This window comes from Homo sapiens, chromosome X, assembly GCF_000001405.40.
Source record: "Homo sapiens chromosome X, GRCh38.p14 Primary Assembly".
Classification (NCBI taxonomy): Eukaryota; Metazoa; Chordata; class Mammalia; order Primates; family Hominidae; genus Homo; species Homo sapiens.
The window spans coordinates 71,978,178-72,001,544 of record NC_000023.11 but is presented as its reverse complement, the minus strand read 5'-3'; the positions used below and the strand labels follow the sequence as shown (position 1 = coordinate 72,001,544).

General features: G+C 43.7%; 1 protein-coding gene across 8 annotated transcripts in view, besides 1 other annotated feature; it reads right to left on the bottom strand.

Moving 5' to 3' along the window:
* The window catches only part of NHSL2 (NHS like 2), a 242,442-nt gene that overhangs the window by 151,742 nt on the left and 67,333 nt on the right, over positions 1-23,367 (bottom strand). The gene's annotated exons all lie outside the window — the stretch shown is intronic.
* Positions 4,173-4,774: an enhancer, noted in NCBI's record as "OCT4-NANOG-H3K27ac hESC enhancer chrX:71216621-71217222 (GRCh37/hg19 assembly coordinates)". NCBI's record gives its function as "activates a minimal SCP1, AML or CMV promoter by ChIP-STARR-seq in naive and primed H9 embryonic stem cells {active_cell/tissue: H9 hESC(naive and primed)}" and the evidence as "EXISTENCE:reporter gene assay evidence [ECO:0000049][PMID:30033119]".

Genomic DNA, 23,367 nt, shown 5'->3' with positions numbered 1-23,367 from the left:
GAAACTGTTACTTAGAGAGTCTGTTTCTGAGAAGCCAGTCAGAGAGAAATAGTAAACACAGACAGACATATACCTCATTGGCAGGGGTGGGAAAAGTACATTTTAGTTAAGTCCAGGGCCATTTCCAGAAGAAGGCAATGTAAAAGTCTATGAGAAGAACAAATAAATAATGCATGATCCTAGCTGCTGACTAGAAACAGGTCCAGAAGGTGGGAATGGGTAAACCGTAGCACAGCGAAACCAGCCATGTTGGAAAGGAGGGCTCTGGCACCATATAAGCACTGTGGAAAGGAAGTAAAAAGCCAGGAATGCACAAAAATCTTGGAAAGTATTTTTTTAAAACACTTTAGTAAGAACATAGGTAAAATATATGTCCACGATTAAAAGCCCCAGGATTTAGAAGCCATTCCCCTACAAGGCTGTCTGACTGGCTGGGTGAATGACTGAAAGGGGCATCTTACTCCAAAGGGAGAGCACAGAGATGTGTGGCAATGCAGGTGTCAGGAAGAATTCCATAGGCCCCACATCAGATTTTGTGACCACTAAAATGACAGGTGAGGCAGGAGAAGGTCATGGAAAAAGCACAAGGGTGATAGACAGGATTATAGCCCCCACAACGATGTCCACATCCTAACCTCTGGAACCTGTGAATGTGTTCAGTTACATAACAAGGGGAACTAAGGTTTGCAGGTGGAGTTAAAGTTACTTATCAGCTGACATTGACTGAAATGGGGAGAAGCTGCCCATCTCATCTGGGTGGGCTCAATGTAATCATGAGGGTTTTTATAAAGTGAAAGCGGGAGGCTGGAGAGTCAGAGTCAGAGAAGGAGATGTATAGAAGCAGAATCAGGGTGATGGGATGTGAGAAAGACTCGAATGGCCACTTTTGGTTTTGAAGTCAAGGAATGCAGGCAGCCACTACACGCTGGAAAAGGCAAGGAAAAGGATTGTCCCGTAGAGTCCTAAGAAGGAATGCAGCCCTGCTAGCATCTTGATTTTAGTCCAGTGAGACCAATCTCAGACGTCTGCCCTCCAGAACTGTAAGATAATAAATTTGTGTTGTTTTAAGCCACTGAATTTGCGGTAATGTGTTACAGCAGCAATATGATACTAATACAATTGGCTTTGGACTCAGATGAATGTAGTTTAATGCTGGCTCACTGTATACCAATACTTGACCTTAGTCTAGTCATTTAACCTCTCTTAGCCTTAATATCCTTATCTGTAAAATGGAGACCACAATACCCTCACTTCATAGAGTTGAGGTAAAGAGCACCTGTAATGATGAACACAAAGGGATAGTACAGCCTCGCACAGAGAAGGTGCTGGGCAATGTTCTTTTCTTTCCTTCAATGTGTTTGATGAGATCATAATTCATATGTAGGACCGGTGGTGTTCTGGTAAGTGTTCAGCAACCAGCTCTCAAAAAAAATGCACAAACGTATATATAAATATACACATACATACATAGGTTTATTATAAATTTACTTATATAAGAATGTGAAGTGCTCAATTTACAGATAATACTGAAATATATAATACTCTTTATTATAAATTCCATATAACCAATGGATTCTCCCATAATGCTTTCATTGATTTTTGCTGAACACATATCAATAGCCAAACTTCGGCCATAACAGAAGAGCAAGTGCAGTTCCTAAATGAATGATGGTTGATATTTTCATTTATGTTAATGAGTAAGAAGAAAGTGAAACAACCAAGAAGTATTGGAACTTGACAATTTTTTTTTAAATGTTGAAATAATTTTAGACTTATAGAAGAGTTGTAAAAACAGTACAGAGAGTTTCTGTGTACCCTTTACCCAGCTTCCCCTTATGTTGACATCTTACATAATTATAAAACATTGATCAAAACTGAGAAATTAAACTTAGTACAACATTAACTAAAGTACAAACTTATTTGGAGTTCACCAGCTTTTCTACTGAAGTCTTTCTTCCATTCTAGGATCCAATCCAGGACCCATATTGTATTTAGTTGGTCATTTATTTTGTAGAATGTCTCTCAATTTCAGTTTGTCTTCTGTTTTCTCATATAATTTAATTTTTAATGATGGCTGTATTTAACAACTGGCTCATACGTTTCCTAAATATTTAACAATTGATTCTCGCAAACCACTACAAGCCAGCCCCAGCACACCACTCTAAGCAAAATTGACAAACAATTCATTCACGGTTTTTTCCCCATTAATTTCACAAATATTTATTGAGCGCCCTCTAGGGGCTAGTGCTGGGGATATAGAGATGACCAAAACACAGTCCTTGCCTGAGAAAATCAGAGATTAGGGGAGGTGACAGGACAGTAGCAGACAGTGCCTGTAGAGCGATGGATACGATAGAGGGTAATAGAATGTGGTGGAGCATTCAGAGGTGGGAGGGCCAAATTCTGGCTGAGGAAGTCAAGGGGAACATCAAGGATGAACAAGAGCTCCCCAGGTCAGACACAAGGAGGTTGAGGGAGGCTTCTCATGTAAGATGATGTGTGAGCTGAGTCTTGATGCATGAGTGGGAATGAGCCAGTCAGCTGAGGAAGCAGAAGGAACAACAGTCACTCATTTATTCCTTCATTTATTAAGCACCTATTAGGTATCCATTCCATACTATGCTCTGGAGATGCTCAAACAGGTAATGAATAAGGGCCCTCCAGTGTGACTGGTGATGGTGTCTGAGCTATCTTGAAAGATGAGGCAGTGTTTGCATGTGTGAAGGTGGTGTCATGAATGAGCATGGGGCATGAGGGCATTGAGTATAGATCAGCAGTGGAGAGGACCCCACGGCCAGACACCTCCTCCCTGAGAGTGCAGAAAGATGAAGGGGGAGCTGAAAGGCCACTGACCATCGTTTAACCTAGAGCAACCAATAGGTTTTGCCAGAGGACAACTAATGCCAGAACCTTCCTATGCAGGCGCCACATGTTCATAGCCCCCTTCTCTCCAGCCCTTCACACTAAACCTCCACGTAAAGATCCCCAGAACTACACTGAGCAGCTTACCCCTGCCTTAGGCAGAAGGATGAGGTGGTGATGATATGGTGTCACAGGCCAACTCTCAACAGAGGTCCTTGACCTGAGACCAAGACGCCCCAGAAAAGTGCCAGTGTTCCTACCTCAGATGCCTTCTCTGACCATAAACTAAAGCAACCCCAACACATACACAACCCCAGCCATTCTCTATCCCATTATACTACTTGATTTTCTTCATAACACTTATTGCTATCTGAATAAGTGCTAATAAGTGCTTTTTAGATCTTTACTTGTTTTTGCTAGTCTCCTTCCATTACAAGTTAAGCTCCTCAAATGTAGAAACCCTTGTCTATCTTGTCTTCAATACATCCCCAGCTCTCAGCTCAGGGCCTGGCCCTTAGGAGTATTTGTGAAATATTTGTAGAATAGATGACTGAATGAATGGATGAACGAATGCTTTTACTAATATTTGACAGCTGTACTCCTAATCCTCTGTGGCCCAAACTTTTGCCCTCCATTTTAAGTCTGTTGCATATTCCTTCAGTACCTTGACTTAGAACTTGAACCTTACAAGGAGGAGCAACACTAACATGCATGAAATTCAGAATGCTCCTGTTGGAACTATTGTGAGAATGCAAAAGATAACAACAAAAACTAACACTTGTTGTGCTAAGTGCCAGCTCCCATCCTAAGCCCTTTATATATATTTAATAAATATCTGTTGAGTACCTGCCAGGTGCCAGGGATTGTTTAGGCCCTAGGGACATGGCAATGAATAAAAGACAAAAATCTCTGCTTTTAGGGAGCCTAAACATTAGCCAACTTAATCTGAAAACAGCCTTAAGATGTAGATCCTGTGATTATTCCCATTTTAAAGATGAGGAACCTGAGGCACAGAGGCTAAGTAACTTACCCAAGATCGCACAGCAGTGGAATGGCAGAGCCAGGCAGTATGGGCCCTGAGCCTGTGTTCCTAACCAGTAGGCTATTCTGCCTCCTGGAGAGCTATGGGAAAGTGCTTGGCAAACTTTCAAAGACTTCGATAAATTTGAATTCCTATCATTCTTGGTAGAAGCACATTGTGTTATGGGGGCAGTAAAGAGACTGGGCCAGGGAGTTCAGAGGACGTGTGGAGGGCAGTGGTCCTGGAGGTGGCCTTTGGCACATCTTGGGCCAGGAGAGCACTAGCTGTGCTGTGACTCCCCAGCCCCTTGCTGGAGACTGTCAGACTTAGCAGATCCACATAGAGTAAGGCTGCACGAGGGAGGCTGTAAGGCCTCCCCACTGGCACGTTCTTAGCTCTTTGTGGGTTTTTCTTCCCCCATTGTTGTCGTAGAGTCCTGTCCTGATCCCCCTTCTACCGATTTGTTGCCCTTGTAGTGGCCCTGCCCCACCCACCTTGCCACAGTCCTCCCATTCAGCCTCCTAGCCCAAGAAGACAAAGGAAACTTTGACTGTCCCCCACTGGGCTTTTCTGATATTCTGTTTCCATTGGAACAAAGAACAGCTCACCAAGTGCTCTCTGATCCTTGGAATGAGAAAGGAAAATAGTTTATCACATGGAGTAACTCGCACACCGCCCCCATTGCTCACTGGTCCCAGCCTCTCAGGACGCCCCACATTCCTGGCAGGGCAAGACGGGAAGGCGCCTCCCTCCTGCTCAGCCCTCAGGGAACCAGTGGGATAGTGATGACTTCCATCTGGGCTGGCCTGTTTTCCACCACTTAGGCTCCACCTGTGGCCTGGATGGAGCTGAAGGAAGAACGAAGCATCCTTTCTGCCTGTCTCATTGCTCCAACCATGGGTGAGCCTCCTAGACCTTGGTCAGCAGATTTCCAAGAGACTCCTGCATGGGGGAAGAGGTCCTGCATGGGACCTTGGGCAGCACTCTTAACCCCTCTGAGACTCAATGTTCTCCTCTGAAAATGAGTCTAATAATGCCTACTTCACATGGTTAGCATAAGGATTAAAATTTAATGTAACAAATGCTTGATAAACACTTGGCCCAAACCAGACCAGACTCTTCTACAGAGTTTGGTCTAGGAGAGGAGGTGAGGTTGCTCCAGCGATGGGCCTACCTGTGTGGCAGGTGTGATAGAATTGTTTGCTCTGAAAAATGGGGTGGATGCTATCCCACTGCTGGATTTGCCCAGGCCTTCAAGCCAGAGTGAGGCATACTGCAGGGAGCACAGCTGGCCTGGCTGAATGAAGCTGACTGGCAGCCACCGCCCCATCACTATTTGAACAGCTGTGACATGGTATGTTTATAGATGTGGGGTGAAGATAAGATGGCGCTTTGAAAGAAGTCAAAAAAGAAATGGGGAACTGCAGGAGTGAGGATCTCTGCCCTCATGCCCAGGGGGCATGAATGGCAGCCCAGTTGGCCAGGCCCCCACCTTGCCCCCAGAGGCTCATAATGCTTGTCCTTAGAGACAATCACATCAAATTATAAATTGCTTTATAAATGGACAAATTGAGGACAGTGAGGGGAAGGGACTTGCCCAAGGTCACCCTGGCTAGACCTGCTAACTCCTACAGTCCAGTGGCTCTCTCCTTCCCCTACGTGATCTGTTCCTGAGAATCCCAGATCACATGGCCCTGAGATAGCCCAGGACAACCTCACCGATCCCCACAGTCCACCTATTCATTGATCCCATAAGTCCTTACTGAGTGTCTCCCATGCGCCAGGCACTGGTCCAGGCACTAGGAATACCACAGGGGAAAACAGACAAAAGTTTCTGTTCTCATTAAGCTTACATTCTGTGGGGAGAGATAGACAATGAATAAAACAAATGAGTAAAATATGTAGTAAGTTAGAATGCAATAACTGGCTTGGAGAAAAATGAAACAACGGAGGGGCTCAGGGGACCAGCAGGGCTGGGGGTGTTATTCTATAATAAGATGGTCAATGAAAGCTTCATTGAGAAGGTGACATTTGTAGAGAGACCTGAAGTGAGGAAGTGAACCACGCAGGTACCTAGAGGAAAAGATTTCTAGGCAGAGGGAACAGCAAATGCAAAGCCCCTGGAGGCTGTTTGGGGATCAGTGAGGAGGCCAGTGTGGCTGGTGCAGAGTGCAGAAGGAGTAGCAGGAGAGCAGGAGGTGAGGTCCTACAGGTCAGGGGGTCAGATAGAGTATGCAGGGCCTGTGGGCCATTGTAAGGACGTTGGCTTTTCATCTGAAATAGAGATCCAGTAGAGGGTTTTGAGCAGAGAAAGGACATGACCTGACTTATGTTTTTGCTGAATCACACCGGCTGTTGTGCTGAGAGTAGAGCATAGAGGATCCAAGCTGGAATAGGCAGGGAGACCTGTCAGGAGGCTGCTGCAAATAATTACCCAGGTGAGAGATGACAGGAGAACAGATCTTGAAGGTGGTAACAAGTGGTTTGATTCTGGATATATTTGGAATGTAGAAACAACATAAACTACTAATGGAGTGGATGTGGAGTATGAGAGTCAAAAATGACCTTGAGGTTTGGGTCTTGAGCAATTGGAAAGTTGAGACTGCCATTAACTGAGATGGTGAAAACTGCAGGAGCAGCAGGTTTGGGGGGCAAGGCCAGGGGTCTGGTTTGAATAGGTCAAGTCTGAGATGCCTATGAGATGCCCAAGTGGATGCCTATGAAAGCCACCCCTGCCAAACAGGGGTGGGGGCAGCAGCCACTCTCCACATCCCTTCCTACCTCATTCATCTACTCACTCACTCAGCAAGTATGCAGTGGGCAGGTCCAGGCACTGGGGACACAGCTCCCTGGCTGGCCCCCCATCACCAGTCTCGCCCCACTTCCTGACTGTCTAACACGTGGAGGCTCTAGTGTGGGCCTTGCAAAGCTGAGATCAGACTCATCACTCCCCAGCTCCAAACCCACAGGTGGCTCCCCATTGCCTTCAGAGGACAAAAAGCCAAGATCCACAGCCACTTACAGCATCTCATTCCTTTTTTTAAACTTTGATTTTAGGTTCAGGGGTACATGTGCAGGTATGCAGGTAAACTGCATGCCTCAGGGGTTTGAGGTATAGATTATTTTGTCCTCATTCCTTAAACACTAGTCACATAGGGCAACACACTGGGGCGTGAACATGCCATTGGTATCCATAACTCCAGGGGTCTGCTCAGGGGCTCCCTGCGCCAGTAAGGCCCTGCCTCCTCTTCAGCTTGATTTACTCATTTTGTTCCTCCAGCACCTGGCTGAGCCATCTCCTTTTCACCCGAAGCCTACCTTCCTCAACTTTTACACACACACACACACACACACACACACACAGAGGGAGCCTCCCTCAGGGATCTCTCAGTCTGTCTGCCCTCCCATCTTTCCTCCAATCAGGCTGGTTGCTTCTCGAGGGCAGGGGTTATTTCTTATTTGTTCATCTCTGTAACCCCAGCACTACCTTTGCCAGAGTAGTCAATAGAGGTTTATTGAATGAATGAATGAATATACTAATATGTTACAATAGATACTAAGGGATCAGAGAGAGGAGAAGCATTTGTTTGGCCTAAGGAGAGGGTCAGAGAAAGTGGCTCAGAGATGCCATTGGAGCTAGATGTGGAAGACCAAGAAAGAGTTCACCAGGCCAAAAGAATTCTCAGTGATGTACAACTAAATTTTGCTTTTCACATTTGATACAAACTGGCAGCCAGAAGGCTGAATGTGGCTTGCAGATGCTTTTGGTTTGGCCATATATTTTTTTTTTTTTTGGTTTTGGCCTGCATAGTGTTTTCAAAAGTAATGTAAAAAGACAGGCATTATGGTTGGTCACACCGTGACTTGTCTTACACTTGGCCGACTCTCACCCTTATGGTACCTGCTGGGAGGCAGGTGGGGAGTGTAGCCCTGCGTGCATTTGATTTGCCTCCTCTGGCCAGGGAACCCCAGTGCCTTCTCACTGCTCAAAAGTCCTGCTGCTAAAGACGGAGCATCCTTGGCTCATTCAGACAGAGCCTCCATACCATGCCAGGCCTGGCCAGCTGGTTAGTAGCTATGGGGATGACAACCCAAATGCCCACCACCTACAGGACCATCATGTCTACCTCAGACCCTCCAGGGTACTCAAGAGCTCTCCTTGTGATGGTGGAAGTGGGTGGAGAGGCTGGGCAGTGTGCAGACAGCAGCTGCAGACCAGGCCAGGGCTTGGCTTACCTTGACCCCCAGTTACTCAAAAGATAGAGAACAGCAACCCCAGAATCCCCTCCATGGCTCCCATCTCAGTAGGCGATTGCATTTTAGCAGGAAGCCTCACTGTGTGATGATAAGGCCTTTCGCTGAACATAAGGCTCAGGTATGGGTCTTCAACCAAGGGCTATGCAGGAAAAGCTGGGCTTCCAGGCCACTGGGGGTAGCTGAGTGTGCCAGAAACGGCACAAGTCAATGTGTGGGCTTCCACGGCTTCCAGCTGGAATACTGCAGGCCAGTTAGAGGTGGAATAAAAGCCTTCAGACACCAGCAACTACTGCCAGAGACACAGGCCCAGCTGGCTATGTGGAAATGAAGGTGAGAAAAGTTCCCGCCCCTCCCATCTAGCTGACACTGGGGCTCTCTGGCTTTGTGGCCCATACTTGTTCCTGTCGCTGCCAGAGCACCCTGGTTTCAAGCTACACGGAACAAATCCACACACTACAGCTACAGCCAGGTCCCTCAGTGCTGTCACAAACATGTACATAACACACAGCACACCCACAGTCATACCAACACCACATCATGTCCCGCTGTGTTCACGGTCTTCAGTCCCAGCCACAGCCTAGCCCAACCCAGCCCAGCTCTAATGCCCTTCAGCGACTGTGCTGTCTTACAGCCCCACAAGCGGGTGTACCCACTTCCCCTGGCAGCCGCAATGATCTTAAGTGTCTCACTTAACGCCTTGCTGACATAAGTTAGTGGCAGTCATGCAAAGAAAACCAAAAACAGAAAGAAACAAAACAAAAAACCCTAAAATTGCTTCTCCAGGGCTTTGAAATGTGTTCCATAAAGTTTCTTTGGAAAGTTTGCTTTATCCATTCTATTTGACTTTGACAAACAGTACTAGGGCTTTGTCTCCCTGAGTTCCTAAGCAGCAGAGCAGGAAAGGGCAGAAACAGGGAGACAAAGATACATAGTCAATCTTTTTCCCCCAGGAAGCTCCCTGCAGTTGTTCTGGACACATGAAACAGCTTAGTCAGAAACAGTCTTTCTTCTCCCCTTTTCCTTCCTCACCTCCCCACCCCACCCACTATCTCAGATGCCTACAACTGCTACATACAGGTGGATATGTTATTATGTGTCCCTAACTGAATAGCCCCTCTACGCCCTCCACACTGATTTTGGGGACACCCAGGCTCTACATACACCCAGTGACTGCAGCCATTTGGCTCCACAGGTCATCAGTGCTTCCACTTTGACCCAGTGCCTGACTATGCCCAGTGATGGGCACATACACCCACACCAGCCCTCTCTGCCCACCTCCCAGTACCTTTCACCCAGATGCTGCCCAAATGTGTGGGACTCAGTTGCTGTCCAGACTACGCAAGTGCCTTCCAGCAGCTGCTGTGTTTGTCTAGCATCTCCCAGTGAGCTGTGCCTTGCCTGCCTGTGGCCAGGCAGATCTGCAACTCATGTGGCCCTTGGGCCTGGCTAATGCAAAGGAACCCAGTGATGAGAATGCCTCCTTGATCTTCCCTGCCCTCTGTGCGTATCTCTATGGAGTCTTAGTGCAAACTAGGCCACTGACAGCCAAAGACAGAGAGAGAGAGAGAGAGAGAGAGAGAGAGAGAAAGAGAAAGACACACAGAGAGACATAGAGAGACAGAGAGAGAGAAATGCTTCTAGCACACACCCCTCATTCAGCACTTTGTTCTGGAAAGGACTGGGCTAGGCAACTTGGGCTAAATTCACACTTTGTGCCTGCAACCAGTGCCCTCTGTATAGGCCCAGCTGGCTGCCAATAGGCACGCTGTGCTTGGTCCTTTCTAGTCTATAAATGGGCACCACTTGTGCTGGGCTATGTAAAGACAATTATTTTCAATGGAATAAAATCTCCCTCTGCAGCTGACTGCCAAAGTCAGAAATACTAACGGCATATTCCACTGTTCTTTGGTGGCCTGTTTTGGGAAGGCAAAGTTAGTCTGGCCTGACTGCTGTATATTAGATGACACTGGGAATCACTTAAGCAAAGCACTTGCAATTTTCATTTCAAAGCAGGTCAAACAGAGAATTCCAGCCACGCCAGAGTTGAAAGGTGAGTAAACACCACCTAATCCAAGAGTCACAAATGTAAATGCCTTTAGGCACCAAGCAGCTAATGAAAATAAGGGAGGTGGGGAGGTGTAAGAAAATGGGAGAAGAGTGGGGAACCACAGCACACACGCTTTCCAGAAAGGCATTCAAAATCACGTTAATGTGCCAACCAACAAAACATGTTTGCAGGCCCTTTGGGCCCAAGAGCTGCAAGTTTGAGACACCTGTTGAAGACACGAAGCCCAGAAAGAGGAAGGGACTTATTCAAGGTCACCCAACTGGTCAGTGACAGAGGACCCTGCACAACTATTTGGCAAAATGAGTCTTGTGATGGCTTAACCACGCTCATTCTTTCATTCCTTCACTCCCTCAGCAAACAGGTCCTGACTCCCAATGTCCTAGACACTCTCCTGTCCTGTCACAGCCCCAGTAGTTAGCCAGGCTTGTTCTTCATCTTCAAGAAGTTCTCAGTCCAGTAGGGAAGTGGCAAGAACAGAGCTTGGAAATAGAAATAGAGAGCAGGTAGAATGGGGTCTCGAAAACCAGGCTGAGGCATTTGGATTTTATGCTGGAAGCAGCAGAGAAGCCTTGGGGAAGTCTGAGCAGGCCTTGGAAAGCTGTTCTGCAGGAAGATTCATCTAGCAGTGTTGACAAGATGGATTGGGGCCAGGCCAGTGTTGTGGGAGGTGTAACTGGAGGCACAGAAAGTAGTAGGCCTGAGGTGATGAGGTTGGAGGTCACTAACAAGAAAGGAGAAAGGGTGAATGTGTAAGACCCTGCAAATCAACAGTGTGAGCGGGGTGGTCTTGGGTATGGGTGTGTGTGTGTGTAGAAGGGGTGGCCCACGGGTGAAGGAGAAGGGTTGTTATGAGGCAAGGAGATGGTAGAATGAAGATGACTCCTAGGTGGGCTGGATGGCTGGATCGCCAACAGAGAGGGAGAACCCAGAGGACATGGGTTGGGGGAAAGTATGTGGGTGGGAACGTCCAAATGTTTTTCTGTGACAGCAGCCTGTAGACCAATAGAAAGAATCTGGGACTGTCTGTTTTATGTTATTAGCCTCTCCTTCCTCAGTATGGAAAATTGAGTCTGGGCCTTTTGACCTCTTGACTCTTCTAGATGCCCAGAAGTGACCCCTGGGGAAATCCCATTCAGTGCCTCTAGTTGAAACAGTCCAAAGATTTAACAAGCACTAATCAAATAAATAACTAAAATACATTCTCCGCCCCCGAACTCTTTTTGTCCCCCACTCCAAAGCAGCTCTGTGGGAAAGTCAATTTGGGAATTTCCCACATGTGTCTATGACCGCAATGCCAGAACAATGGTCTGAGTCAGCTACAATCTTCAAAATTCTGTATTTGCTTCTCAAATCAAAGGCAGCATGCTGGCAGGCGGAGCCCTGGTGATGCGGTAAAATGATTCCCATGTCACCTCAGGGACCACGTGGGACTTCTGTACTGGCTTCCAAAGCTCAATGCCCGAGCCACGAGGTAGAGAGAAGCCTGCCAGGCATGCAACTGAATCAGCAAACCCATCCAGATGATCTACTCTCCCCACACCCCATAGGGATGGTTCATTTGCCTTCAGGTTCCTCTCAAGTCACCCTTTTCTTTGCCCTCTGGGAAGAGGCTGCAGCATTGGTGAATGAGCAGGAATCACTGTGGGGTTCTAAAAATAGCTAAAGACTGCTAGTCCAAGCCTTCGCTACAGAAAAGAGACTTGAAAATCTGCAGATGAAACTGAAGTTGAAGGATGCTTGGGGCTCTGGAAAAAATAGTAGGGGCTTTGGATTCAACTTTGCTTCAAATCTCAGCTTGACCCCCTACCAGATGCATGGTCTGGTCACAGTTTTCTCATTTCTAAAATTGCAATTATGATATTTCCCTCCCAGGACTACGATAAGGATTAAATGTGATGATGCATGCATAGTTCCTGGCACATAGTAAATGCTTAATAAAAATTAGTTTTATCTTTCACATCTTCCACCTTTTTTTTTTTTTTTTTTTTGAGACGGAGTCTTGCTCTGTCGCCCAGGCTGGAGTGCAGTGGAGCGATCTCGACTTACTGCAAGTTCCGCCTCCCGGGTTCACGCCATTCTCCTGCCTCAGCCTCCCGAGTAGCTGGCACTATAGGCGCGTGCCACCACGCCCGGCTAATTTTTTGTATTTTTAAAGACAAGGTCTTTCAAAATAAGGACCAAGTGTTTTGCCAAAGCACCACCTGGTGAGAAGGGTGGGTGGGGTACAGAGCTGAGGGGAAGAAGAAGGGTGCCACTACCTTAGCCTACCAAGTGGGGACTCAAAAGATGCAGCTCATACTTGATGGAACAAAAACATAGAAAGTGTTAGTATATTGCATAGCTTACTGGGGTAACCAAAAAAGAATACAAAATAGTGATGAGTTAGACAATGGTGCTAAATCTTTAACTAGCTTGGCAGGAAGTCAACAGATAACCAGAAATTGGTAAACAGACTGCTCTGCCTATGGAGTAGCCATTCTCCTATTCCTTCAATTTCTTAATAAACTTGCTTTCACTTTACTCTATGGACTCACCCCAAATTCTTTCTTGCGCGAGATCCAAGAACTCTCTCTTGGGGTCTGGATCTGGACCCTTTTCTGGTAACATCTTTCTGGCAAACCCTGAAGGAACGATACTGAGGAGACCCCCAACCCAAAGGAAATAGTCTGCAGCACCAGTTGGCCGACTTTGGGTAAGTGGGGTGCATTTACCAGTGTAAAAGATGGGATTGAGTTAGAGGCCCAATTTAGGGGAGTTAGTGTCTCTCCTAAGACAGAGAAGGTTAAAGACCCCTCTTAATAAAAGTCAAGGACGCTTGACTGACCTTGGGTTAGAAGCCCAACTTAGGAGCGTTAGAGTCCCTTCTAAGATTTAGGGGGTTGGAGATCCCTCTCAGTAAAGTCCCTCTCGACTAAGAACGAGTTTGGCACTACTATTAACTGCTATTCTCTTTGAATTAATCTGCCTTTGCTGATGGCTGTAGGTGACAAGATTAGGTATATACAGGATCATTGGACATGGGGAGCTTTTTCCTCCCTAAAGGGGGAAACTTGAGAGCTGATGGGAATGCTGGAAAAGATCCCTTTGACAAACAAAACCTTCAAAAAAGATCCCTTCAACAAAACCTGAACTTTTCAGTGGCATTGCAATGGGTGGATCTTTCTCTGGCCTCCGTGAGCAACTCGCCTTCCCCATCCTGCCGCAGCAATGTTTTTCTCTCTTTCTTTCTCTCTTTTCCATTTCTTATCTTGTCTGTTACTCAGGGCGACTGTCTCGCCAGAGACTACATGTTGAAAAATGTCCTTGGGAGCTTAACCTTGTAACCACGTGGCAGTACTTTCTCTTGGTTGCCATCATCCAGTGGACAGGAATTTGGGGTTTCATGTTATAGTTAGCCCTTAAAATTATCTCAAGCAGTTAAAAGCTTTTGCAAGTTCAAAATTGGCTGTTCTAGGCTCCTTCTAGGAAGAGAAATGGAAACTTCCCAGTGCTGTAGCTCAGTAGCTAAGGCTTTGTGTCTTCACCGTGGTGGCCTGGCTTCAGGGTTCAATTCCTGGCTTAGGGAATGACTCTTTTATCTTCTGTCTGTCTGTGTATGTATATGTGTTGTGTGTGTAGTATAAAAGGGTTTTGATTAATTGGTTTAAAAATAAGAGCTTAAATCAAATATTTTATCAGAAAAGTAAAAGTACAAAGCCTTTTGGTTCATGTGACTTTAGTAATCTTTGGGAAATAAAAACAGTTTTAAAGGTTACTGGTAAAATAAAAATGTCTTCAAAATTTAGACATTTGGTCTAAATTCGGTCACATACTAGCTTTGCTAAATGCTTTAAGGTCATAAACTGCTTCTTTGACTTTTGAAAATTGTTCAATTTACCTACTACCTTGGAGCATTAGATTCTAGATAAGGCCTGGGGACATATGGACAGCCATGCCCCCTACGTATGCTGGAAAGAGTCAGCCTTTATCTGTACTTCTGTCTGATGTTCTAGACTCCAGACCTGGTACCTAACTACAATGGCTTACTAGCCAAGCTTTTCACCAAAAGTAAAAGTTGCTAAGAATTAACCGTGTAACACGTATTTGAGACTACTAAAGAAACAGTTTTTCTTTTTCTTTTTTTTTTGATACGGAGTCTCGCTCTGTCGCCCAGGCTGGAGTGCAGTGGTGCGATCTCAGCTCACTGCAAGCTCCACCTCTTGGGTTCACACCATTCTCATGCCTCAGCCTCCCGAGTAGCTGGGATTACAGGCGTGAGTCACCGCGCCCAGCTTAAAGAAACAGTTTTACATGCAAAGTGTGTAAAGAAAGTGAAATGTGTTTTTGGTAAAAGATTATAAAAAGGCATGGGAATGTGGATTTTTTTTTCTTGCCTAGATTAAAGGGTTAACGGATTGTTTTAAGTTAGATAAGATAAAGCTGAAGGTTTGAGCAAGTTATGGAAGGTTTGTGAAAAATTAATCTTGTAAAAGAAATTCTGTGTGTGAACATATTCGCTCAAATTAAAGGGGTATTCAGTTTTTCCATAAACTGAACATTGGACTAAAAGCATACTGATTTGGTGCCAGAATTTGGGCCCACGTGTCCAAATAACAGGGTTTTCTTAGAAGATTGATCTGTTTAACAAAAATTATAAAGAGTTATAAGAGGTTTATGAAAATCATACCTTATGGTCAAACTAATTAAAACTGGATAAACTTATAAAATGTTATTTAAAACTAGCTTTGGCATGAAAAATGCACTAATGCAAATATGAAATTTGGTTTTCTGTTTCAAAAAAGATTTTTACATAATATGAAAAGATAATGAAAGGTTTTTGTCTATGACTTTGGATAAATGGCAGGGAAAAAGGGAGGGGAAAAAGAAAAGACAGATTCAAGATTCAATTGGCCTCATGCTGTCTTTATTGGGTCTTGTTTAGAAAGCTGATTCTCTCCTCTCTTAGTGAGTATGGGGTTTTGCCTTTTTAAAATATTTATCATTTTGGTTAAATGAGTGACTTACGGTGACCTGGGATTCTTTTTATAATATCAAGTGACTTAAGCCTTTAATATTTGATAAGCTTTCCAAAGTGAAATTATAAACTATGACTTTTTCTGACCTAATTAATCTTTTAGATATTAGGTTGCCTAAAGTCCAAAAGTGACATTTGGCTTATTTGGTATAAAAGTCATACAGGAAACATTCTCAAATATAAGATGGTGTTTGGCTTTTTTGGGCTGTATTTCTAGAAATATGTTATTGGTATGTGTTCAAAATTATGGGAAACTCTTATAATCCTAATATAACTTAGCATATATTATCAGTAATAATTATAATTATTACATAAAATCATTGTGTGCCGTAGAGGTAACCAAATTTCTTTGTCAATCATGTTTTTGGCTGTGGCTGCCCTAAGACATTTTGTCATCCACAGGCAATTGTTGTCTTGTTTTGATCCTCTTTAAAAGGTGGTTTATAATCAGCTACAGGACTCTAACAGGTGTTCTTGAATGCAGGTTTCTAATAACTTTGGAGATTATGACATTAGAATAGAGGAAAAACTTTCAAGACTCATGGAAAGCTGAAATGTTCATGAATATAAAGCAGAACAGGAGTTGACTGAATGGACTGACCTAATAGAAGACTGAAGCAATCTTTTTTAACTTAGCTTAAAGCATTGCGGATCCTTTTGTTTTGTTTTTCAGAGTCAAAGAAACTTTTCTTTTAAGCTATTTACAGCTTTTAACAATTGAGTAAAGTATATTCCTGGGAATAAAACTTGGAGCATATTTGTTTCTCTCTACCTGATTTCTCCAGAATTTGGAAACTAGTTGTGAGTGTTCTTAACTTATAGCAATAGTTATTTGCATAAGTGCAATAAGAATCTGTTTTCTTTTGCAACAGGACACAATTTGAGAAACTGGTTATTTTACCAAGGCTTTGAATGGAATGGTGTGCTTTCCTTTAAGGAATCAAACTTGACTTATAGAGCCAATAAAAGCCCCTTGGGAAACTGGCCTCATACCTTGTCTACACAGTTCCTGTACAAGGTTCCTGACCTGTGGTAAGTTTAAAGAATGTCACCTTCTGACAGGCCCAGGAGCCCCAAGTTATCTTGGGACCTCAAGGGGAGAGGGATTTACTCAACTTATGGGTATTTGAGGGCACAAATCCATGGCTGGGCTCGGCTTTAAAAAGATCTGAGATTCCATCTATGAAACAGAGCTCCATCAGCCGGGCACGGTGGCTCATGCCTGTAATCCCAGCACTTTGGGAGGCCAAGGTGGGCGGACCACGAGGTCAGGAGATCGACACCATCCTGGCTAACACAGTGAAACCCCATCTCTACTAAAAATACAAAAACTTAGCCGGGCATGGTGGCAGGTGCCTGTAGTCCCAGCTACTCAGGAGGCTGAGGCAGGAGGATGGCATGAACCCGGGAGGCAGAGCTTGCAGTGAGCCGAGATCGTGCCACTGCACTCCAGCCTGGGCGACAGAGCAAGACTCCATCTCAAAAAAAAAAAAAAAGGAAAGAAATAGAGCTCCATTAAAGCCAATTTAAAAAGGGCTTATGTGAAAAATAATTATTCTTGCTGCACTTTATACAAACAGTCCAACCAGGTATAATAAAGCAAATCAGTCTTACCATGATTTACCTTTAGTAAAAATGGGAGACTGGAGAGAGAAAAAATTATGTTTCAAGAATTGTGGTATACCTGTTATTAGCTTTTAGTCTCATTAGTTGTTTTTAAGTATTTTTCTGCAATTTATACTGACTCTGCTTATTCCTGTGAATCATCCAGTGATCTCTGACTGCTTCTCAGAAGAAACAAGAGGGATGGGTAATGTAAAAATCTGGATCAGTATTCCAATTCTGGGCACATATTGAAATTGGCTAGCAACCCCATATTAGCTTGGTTCCAACAAATGCCTAGTTCATGGAAAGCTTTCTAATTTAGTTTACTAGGGACAATTTTACTTATTTTGCTTTACTATTGTGGAATATATTGCTGTTGTACTCTTTGTGTAGGAATGCAGGATAAGCTTACCGAATGTTTTCTTACATTGAATACTTATTAATCTTCAAGATATCACCTTTTGTCAGAACTCAGAATTGTGAATGGCCCATGACATACCAATGCTTTCTGACTGAGCTCCTCTCTACCCTGATTGCAAGAGATCTAATAGTTAGACAGGAATATCATCACCGCTATTCATTAGAAGATGGATCTTTGTCCCTCTGCAACCCTTAGGATTAAGGGTTCTCTTATAAAAGTGAGGGGGGAAATGTCAGAGGTGTTTGAACCACAGCAACTCCATCTTGAATAGGGGCTGGGTAAAATAAGGATGAGACCTGCTGGGCTGCGGTCCCAGTAAGTTAGGCCTTCTTAGTCACAGCATGAGATAGGGGGTCGGCACAAGATACAGGTCATAAAGCCCTTGCTGATAAAACAGGCTGTAGTAAAGAAGCTGGCTAAAACCCACCAAAACCAAGATGGCGATGAGAGTGACCTCCGGTCATCCTCACTGCTACATTCCCACCAGCACCATGACAGTTTACAAATGCCATGGCAACATCAGGAAGTTACCCTATAAGGTCTAAAAAGGGGAGGCATGAATAATCCACCCCTTGTTAAGCTTATCATCAAGAAATAACCATAACTTTTTCAAGTCCACTGTGGTGGCTCTGGGTAGTTCCTTTCTCATTCCTTTTTTTTCCTTTAACAGTTTTATTTTTTTTTTAGAGACAGGGTCTCACTCTGTTGCCTAGGCTACAGAACAGTGGCGTGATCATGGCTCACTGCACCCTCAAGCTCCTGGGCTAGAGTAATCTCCACACCTCAGCCTCCAGAGTAGCTGGAACTTCAGGTGTGTGCCACCAGGCTTGGCTAATTTTAATTTTTTTTTTTTTTGTAGAGGTGGGGTCTCACTATGTTGCCCAGGCTGGTCTTGAAGTCCTGGGCTCAAGCAATCCTCCCACTTCGGCCTCCCAAAGTGCTGGGATTACCAGCGTGAGACATAGCACCAAGCAAAATTTATACTGAGATATAATTCGCGTAGCATATAATTCAATCAATTAAAGCAGACAATTCAATGGCTTTTTAGTATATTCACAGAGTTGTATACCCATCATCATAGTGAATTTTAGATCATTTCCCGGTGATAGTGGAAAAACAAACTGTTTTTCCTCTGTTCTCACACCACAACAACAATCAACACAGAAAATTCTGTAACCAAATGTGTGGGATTTTCTCTCCCCATTCGCCAAATAAGCAATCAATTCTACAGTAGACACAGATGTCTTCCAGTTCAATTCTGATACTATCTACCTGAAGATAGCATCATATCCCACAGGTTGAAGGCTCAGTCCCCAAGACTGCGTCCCCCCTTCTTCACACACCAGTTGCAAGTTCTAGCCTCTGGAACTTCTGGACAACCAGCTTCAAATTGGAGTTCCCATTACCCCCTCTTTTCTTCTATTAATTTGCTAAAGCAGCTCACAGAACTCAGGGAAGCACTTACTGACATTTACTGGTCTATAATAAAGGACATAAAAAATGATACAGATGAAGAGATGCATCAAGCAAGGAAGGTATGTGGGAAGGGGCACAGAACTTCCATGTTCTACTTGGGTAGGCCACCCTCCATGAATCTTCACGTGTTCAGCTATCCAGAAGCTCACTGGACCCTGTTCTTTTGAGTTTTTGTGGAGGCTTCATTATGTAAGCATGATTGTTTAAATGATTGGCCATTGGTGATCAACTTCACCTTCAGCCCCTCTCCCGTCCCTGGAGGTTGGGCTGAAAGTCCCAACCCTCTATTCATGCCTTGGTCTTTCCAGTGACCAGTCCCTATTCTTGGGCTACCCAACCATCAGTCAACTCATAGGCATACAAAAAGACATCACTTTGGAGACTCCAAGGATTTTCGGAGTTGTATGCCAGGAAATGGAGACAAAGACCAAATATATATTTCATAACATCACACCCCCCAAAAGAAACCCTAACTTATTAGCTCTCTATTATCCTCCCCACTCCAGCCCCTGGCAACAACTAGTCTATTTTCTGTCTTTATGGATTTGCCTAATCTGGGCATTTTATAGAAATGGAATCATACAGTATATGGGCTTTGTGTCTGGCTTCTTTTGCTTAGCCTAGTGTTTTCAAGGTTCATCCATGTTGTAGCATATATCAGTACTTCATTCATTTTTATGACTGGTTCCATCATATGAATATACCACAACTGTTTATCCACTCACACATTGAAGGACATTTGGGTTGTTTCCATCTTTTGGCTATTACAAATAATGCTCCTATGAACATTTATGTACAAGCTTTTTTTTATGGGGACATATGCTTTTATTTCTCTTGAGTATGTACCTAAGAGTGGAATTACTGGGTCATACGGTAACCTGGGTCATATGTTTAACCTTTTGTGTAACTGCTGTACTGTTTTCCATAGAGGCTGCACCATTTTATGTTCCTACCAGTGGTATTTGAGATTTCCAGTCACTCCACATCCTTGTCAACACTTATTATTTGTATGTTTGATTACAACAAATCTATTGGGTGGGAAGTGGGATCTCATGTGGTTTGATTTAAATTTCCCTCATGGATAATGATGTTGAACATCTTTTCATGTACTTGTTGGCCATTTGTATATCTTCTTTGGAGAACTGTCTATTCAGATCTTTGTTCATTTTTAAATTGAGTTGTTTGTCTTTTTATTGTTGAGTTTTAAGAGTTCTTTATATATTCTGGATACAAGTTCTTTACTAGATATATGATTTGCAAACCTTCTTTTTTTTTTTTTTTTTTGAGACAGAGTCTTGCTCTGTTGCCCAGGTTGGAGTGCAGTGGCACGATCTCTGCTCACTGCAACCTGGGTTCAAACAATTCTTGTGCCTCAGCCTCCTGAGTAGCTGGGACTACAGGTGTGTGCCAACACACTCAGCTAATTTTCGTATTTTAAAAAGAGATGGGGTTTCGCCATGTTTGCCATGTTGGTCTTGAACTCCTGACCTCAAGTGATCCACCCGCCTTGGCCCAAAGTGCTGGGATTACTGGCGTGAGCCACTGTACCTGGCCATAAGATTTACAAAACTTTTGTCCATTCTTTGGGCTGTCTTTTCCCTTTCTTGGTAACCTCTGAAGCACAAAGTTTTTTACTTTTCATAAAGTTCAATTTACCTAGTTTTTCTTTTGTCTTTTGTGCCTTTGGTGTTATATCTAAGAAACCATTGCCTGATTCAAGGTTACAAAGATATACAACTACACTGTCTTCTAACGGTTTTACAGCTTGAGCTCTTACAGTTATGTCGTTGATCCACTTTGAGCTAACTTTTGTACATGATATAAGGTTAGGAGTCCAAATTATTCATTTTTGCATGTAGATTCTCCTTTTTAATTTCAAGGGGCAACACCCTAGTTGAGAATTGGGTCTAGGGAAAATAATAATTACAAAAATCATTGATTAGGTCTCTATCAGGCACTCACATATGCTACCTCTTATTTTTGCAGTAACTCTTCACGGTATATCTTTCTACTATCCTCCTTTTATAGCTGATCAAAGTAAGACAGATTAACTTGTCCCACATTGCCCAACTGACAAGAAGCAGAGCTAGGATTTGCATCAGGCCCATCTGTCTCCAAAGCCCAGACTCACAGTGCTGCACTGGATTGCAAGTAGGCTTCATTCTGTTCATTGACTCTTTCAACTTATCCTTATGCACATATGTACACACACTACACACACACACACACACACACACACACACACACACACCCCACACACCCCACACACACACACACACACTGTTTGGCATGTAAAAAGTGCTTGAGACACCTGAGCTAAATGATTAGATGAGCACAGGTGTTGTTGACAACAGCTGATGTTGGGCAAGATGTGAGCCCAACAACAAAATAAAAGAGGACACAAACAAATGGAAGAACATTCCATGTTCATGGTTAGGAAGAATCAATATCGTGAAAATGGCCATACTGCCCAAGGTAATTTACAGATTCAATGCCATCCCCATCAAGCTACCAATGACTTTCTTCACAGAATTGGAAAAAACTACTTTAGAGCTCATATGGAACCAAAAAAGAGCCTGCATTGCCAAGTCAATCCTAAGCCAAAAGAACAAAGCTGGAGGCATCACACTACCTGACTTCAAACTATACTACAAGGCTACAGTAACCAAAACAGCATGGTACTGGTACCAAAACAGAGATATAGACCAATGGAACAGAACAGAGCCCTCAGAAATAATTCCACACATCTACAACCATCTGATCTTTGACAAACCTGACAAATACAAGAAATGGGGAAAGGATTCCCTATTTAATAAATGGTGCTGGGAAAACTGGATAGCCATATGTAGAAAGCTGAAACTGGATCCTTTCCTTACACCTTATACAAAAATTAATTCAAGATGGATTAAAGACTTAAATGTTAGACCTAAAACCATAAAAACCCTAGAAGAAAACCTAGGCAATACCATTCAGGACATAGGCATGGGCAAGGACTTCATGTCTAAAACACCAAAAGCAATGGCAACAAAAGCCAAAATTGACAAATGGGATCTAATTAAACTAAAGAGCTTCTGCACAGCAAAAGAAAATACCATCAGAGTGAACAGGCAACCTACAGAATGGGAAAAAATTTTTGCAATCTACTTATCTGACAAAGGGCTAATATCCAGAATCTACAAAGAACTTAAACAAATTTACAAGAAAAAAACAAACAACCCCATCAAAAAGTGGGTGAAGGATATGAACAGACACTTCTCAAAAGAAGACATTTATGCAGCCAACAGACATGTGAAAAAATGCTCATCATCACTGGCCATCAGAGAAATGCAAATCAAAACCACAATGAGATACCATCTCACACCAGTTAGAATGGCGATCATTAAAAAGTCAGGAGACAACAGGTGCTGGAGAGGACGTGGAGAAATAGGAACACTTTTACACTGTTGGTGGGACTGTAAACTAGTTCAACCATTGTGGAAGACAGTGTGGTGATTCCTCAAGGATCTAGAACTAGAAATACCATTTGACCCAGCCATCCCATTACTGGGTATATACCCAAAGGATTATAAATCATGCTGCTATAAACACACATGCACACGTATGTTTACTGTGGCACTATTCACAATAGCAAAGACTTGGAACCAACTCAAATGTCCATCAATGATCGACTGGATTAAGAAAATGTGGCACATATACACCATGGAATACTATGCAGCCATAAAAAGGACGAGTTGATGTCCTTTGTAGGGACATGGATGAAGCTGGAAACCATCATTCTCAGCAAACTATCGCAAGGACAAAAAACCAAACACCGCATGTTCTCACTCATAGGTGGGAACTGAACAATGAGAACACTTGGACACAGGAAGGGAAACATCACACACTGGGGACTGTTGTGGGGTGGGGGGAGGGTGGAGGGATAGCATTAGGAGATATACCTAATGTAAGTGACGAGCTAATGGGTGCAGCACACCAACATGGCACATGTATACATGTGTAACAAACCTGCACGTTGTGCACATGTACCCTAAAACTTACAGTATAATTAAAAAAAAAAAAAAAAACCTTGACAAGTTTCTGTAGTAAAATGAGAGGCAACAGATATAGGAGATTTCATCTCAAAAAAAAAAAAAAAAGATGTGAGCCCAAGATAGGCTAAATGATGCCAGGGCCAGGGCCAGCCTAACAGAAATATAAGCAGTAGCCTGAATAGCAGTACTGAATGTGCCAGCAGCTTCTGATCTGATGCAGGGGTGCCATTCAACTCCTCCATGACTGAATAAAGTGTGTCTGGCTGGGAAACATCTTTCTTCTAGTCCTATGCAGAATGAGGTTAAGGACCTATAGCGAGTGGCTTTTTGGGCTTGACAGTCTATGGAGGATTACCTCAGAAGCTGTTCTGTGCAGAGTCCTGGCACCAAATGAGAGCCTTATGGCTGCAGTTGGGTATAAAGCACCACCCAAGGGCAGGGGTTGGCAGGTCCAAGGGAGGGATATGACGGCAGTCCAAGATTCCCTTATAAAGGCGAGTGCTCTAATCAGGGGCTGAGAATGTAAGGTGATGTGAGAACTAGCTAGTAAAGGAAAACCTAAAAGAGAAGTTTAAGGGATGCCTAATGATTTCTTAGTTTATTTTCTAATAG